Source organism: Homo sapiens, chromosome 4 (assembly GCF_000001405.40).
Source record: "Homo sapiens chromosome 4, GRCh38.p14 Primary Assembly".
NCBI classification, from domain to species: Eukaryota; Metazoa; Chordata; class Mammalia; order Primates; family Hominidae; genus Homo; species Homo sapiens.
In genome coordinates, this window is record NC_000004.12 from 7027968 (window position 1) to 7030326 (window position 2359).

The 2359-nt window shown below is 52.1% G+C and overlaps 1 protein-coding gene across 15 annotated transcripts in view; it reads left to right on the plus strand.

The window, feature by feature from the left end:
* The window catches only part of TBC1D14 (TBC1 domain family member 14), a 123649-nt gene that overhangs the window by 118502 nt on the left and 2788 nt on the right, over window positions 1-2359 (plus strand). The window lies entirely within an intron of this gene.

Genomic DNA, 2359 nt, shown 5'->3' on the forward strand with positions numbered 1-2359 from the left:
GCCCACCCCCCCACACATAGATCACCACTTACACATCACCCCACACACACCCACACATACATGCACACATCACACACCTACACATTGCATACCCACACACACACCTACAGATCACCCCCCACATACACCTATCACAGCCCCACACACACGTCACCCCACACATCACACCCACACGTACACATTACACACCCACACACCTCACATGCACATACACACCCACGTACAGGTGCAGGTCAGTCCCTGCGCATCCACATACTGCACACCCACATACACAGGAAAGGATTAAACCCAGATCAGCCATTTTGATCCTTGCATATTTTAGGGACTAGGTAAAAACTATTGGTTAAAACTGGGTCAGATTATTTGACCGTAGGACATTGTTATTAATGGGATGGTGATAGGAGTTAGTCTGATGATGGGGGTGGGGGGCTTGGGCATCAGTGACGTGCTGTCAGTTTTTTGTTTGTTTTTTTTTTGAGACGGAGTCTCCACCCTGTTGCCCAGGCTGGAGTGCAGTGGCGCAATCTTGGCTCACTGCAACCTCTGCCTCCCGGGTTCAAGCGATTCTCTTGCCTCAGCCTCCCGAGTAGCTGGGATTACAGGCGCCCGCCTCCATGCCCAGCTAATTTTTGTATTTTTAGTAGAGACGGGGTTTCACCACGTTGACCAGGCTGGTCTCAAATTCCTGACCTCGCGATCCACCTACCTCAGCCTCCCAAAGTGCTGGGATTATAGGCGTGAGCCACCACACCTGGTCCAGGCATCAGTAACTTTTATACAGTTCAGGTCTCATGGGACTTGTGGTCCATGCACATTTCTCTCAAATCCTGTGCTTAAGGTTAAGACACTGGTGAGCTTTCTTTTTCTTTTTCCTTCTTTTTTTTTTTGAGACAGAGTCTCACTCTCATTGCCGAGACTGGAGTGCAGTGGTGCGATCACAGCTCACTGCAGCCTGAACCTCCGGGGCTCAAGCAATTCTTCCACCTCAATCTCCCAAGTAGCTGGGACTGCAGGCATGTGCCATGATACCCAGCCAATATTTGTTTGTTTTTGTAGAGATTTGTTTGCTTTTTTGTTGCTGAGGTTGGTCTCAAACTCCTGGGCCCAAGTGATCTTCCTCCCTTGGCCTCCCAAAGTGCTGGGATTGCAGGCATGAGCCACCACGCCCAGCCATGAGCTTTTTCAAAATGACTAAATGTTTATGTTGAGCCAGCAACCCCATTTACTTCAAGATGCAGGGGGACTTTATCTGCCATTATTCCTTTTCTGCACCTTAATTGAAACCAAAATGCTTTTACTTTTAAATTTGTGACTCAAAGTGGCATGGTTCCTGGCCCCAGGCAGGTAGCACTGTGTTACCAAGATTCTCTTGGTTTCACCCTTGGACTTTGAGCACGTCACTTCCGTACATGTCTGTTGTTCAGGCCCCTCATGTTGGGGCATTAGCCTTCCAGAGTTTGTCGCGTGGGCTAAGCGGGTGCTGGGCGCGAAGCGCTGGCAGAGTTCTCTGCTTGGCGTGGAGCCTGTTAGTGTTGCTGCAATTGCTAAGCAGCCACAATGGCGTGGAATATCTTTTAAAAGAAGGGTGTTGGCCTGGCATGGTGGCTCAAGCACTTTGGGAGGCCAAGGCGGGCGTATCATGAGGTCAGGAGTTCGAGACCATTCTGGCCAATACGGTGAAACCCTGTCTGTACTAAAAATACAAAAATTAGCCAGGCGTGGTGGCACACCTCTGTATTCCCAGCTACTCAGGAGGCTGAGGCAGAAGAATCTCTTGAACCCGGGGGTCAGAGATTACAGTGAGCCGAGATGGCGCCACTCCACTCCAGCCTGGGTGACAGAGCGAGACTCCATCTCAAAAAGAAGAAAAAGAAGGATGTTGACCAAGAACTGTGAGAACAGAGGAGGGAGCAGGCTCTGGGTGAGCTCAGGAAGGCAGGCAAGAGGAACCAGTGCCTTGAGGCCTTCTCAGGTGGCAGGCTTCCTGGTGGAGGAGGAACAGGGTGGCAGGAGTGCAGCGGGATGGGCACAGGGCTTATTAGCATCCTAGCGTTCAGGCCTGGGCTTCCTGGGTGGCCACTGCAGGACCCCAGTGAGGCCCCCAGCTGTGCTTTGACGTGGATTCTGTGGCCGGCTGGAAGGAGTGCAGCTAGCTCACCAGGCCAGAGAGGGCACGGGCAGGTGTCCATGTTGGAAAGACCACGAAGGACGTAGGAGTGGAAGACCCTGGAGGGTTGGAGGCAGTGGAAGTGGGGAGCCGGGGGACCCTGTTAGGAGGCTACTGCTGTCTCTGCTTCGCTGCTGTCAGGATCTGTGTGCGTGGTCACTTAACCTCAGCTGTCTTCCCTGTGACTTCTAG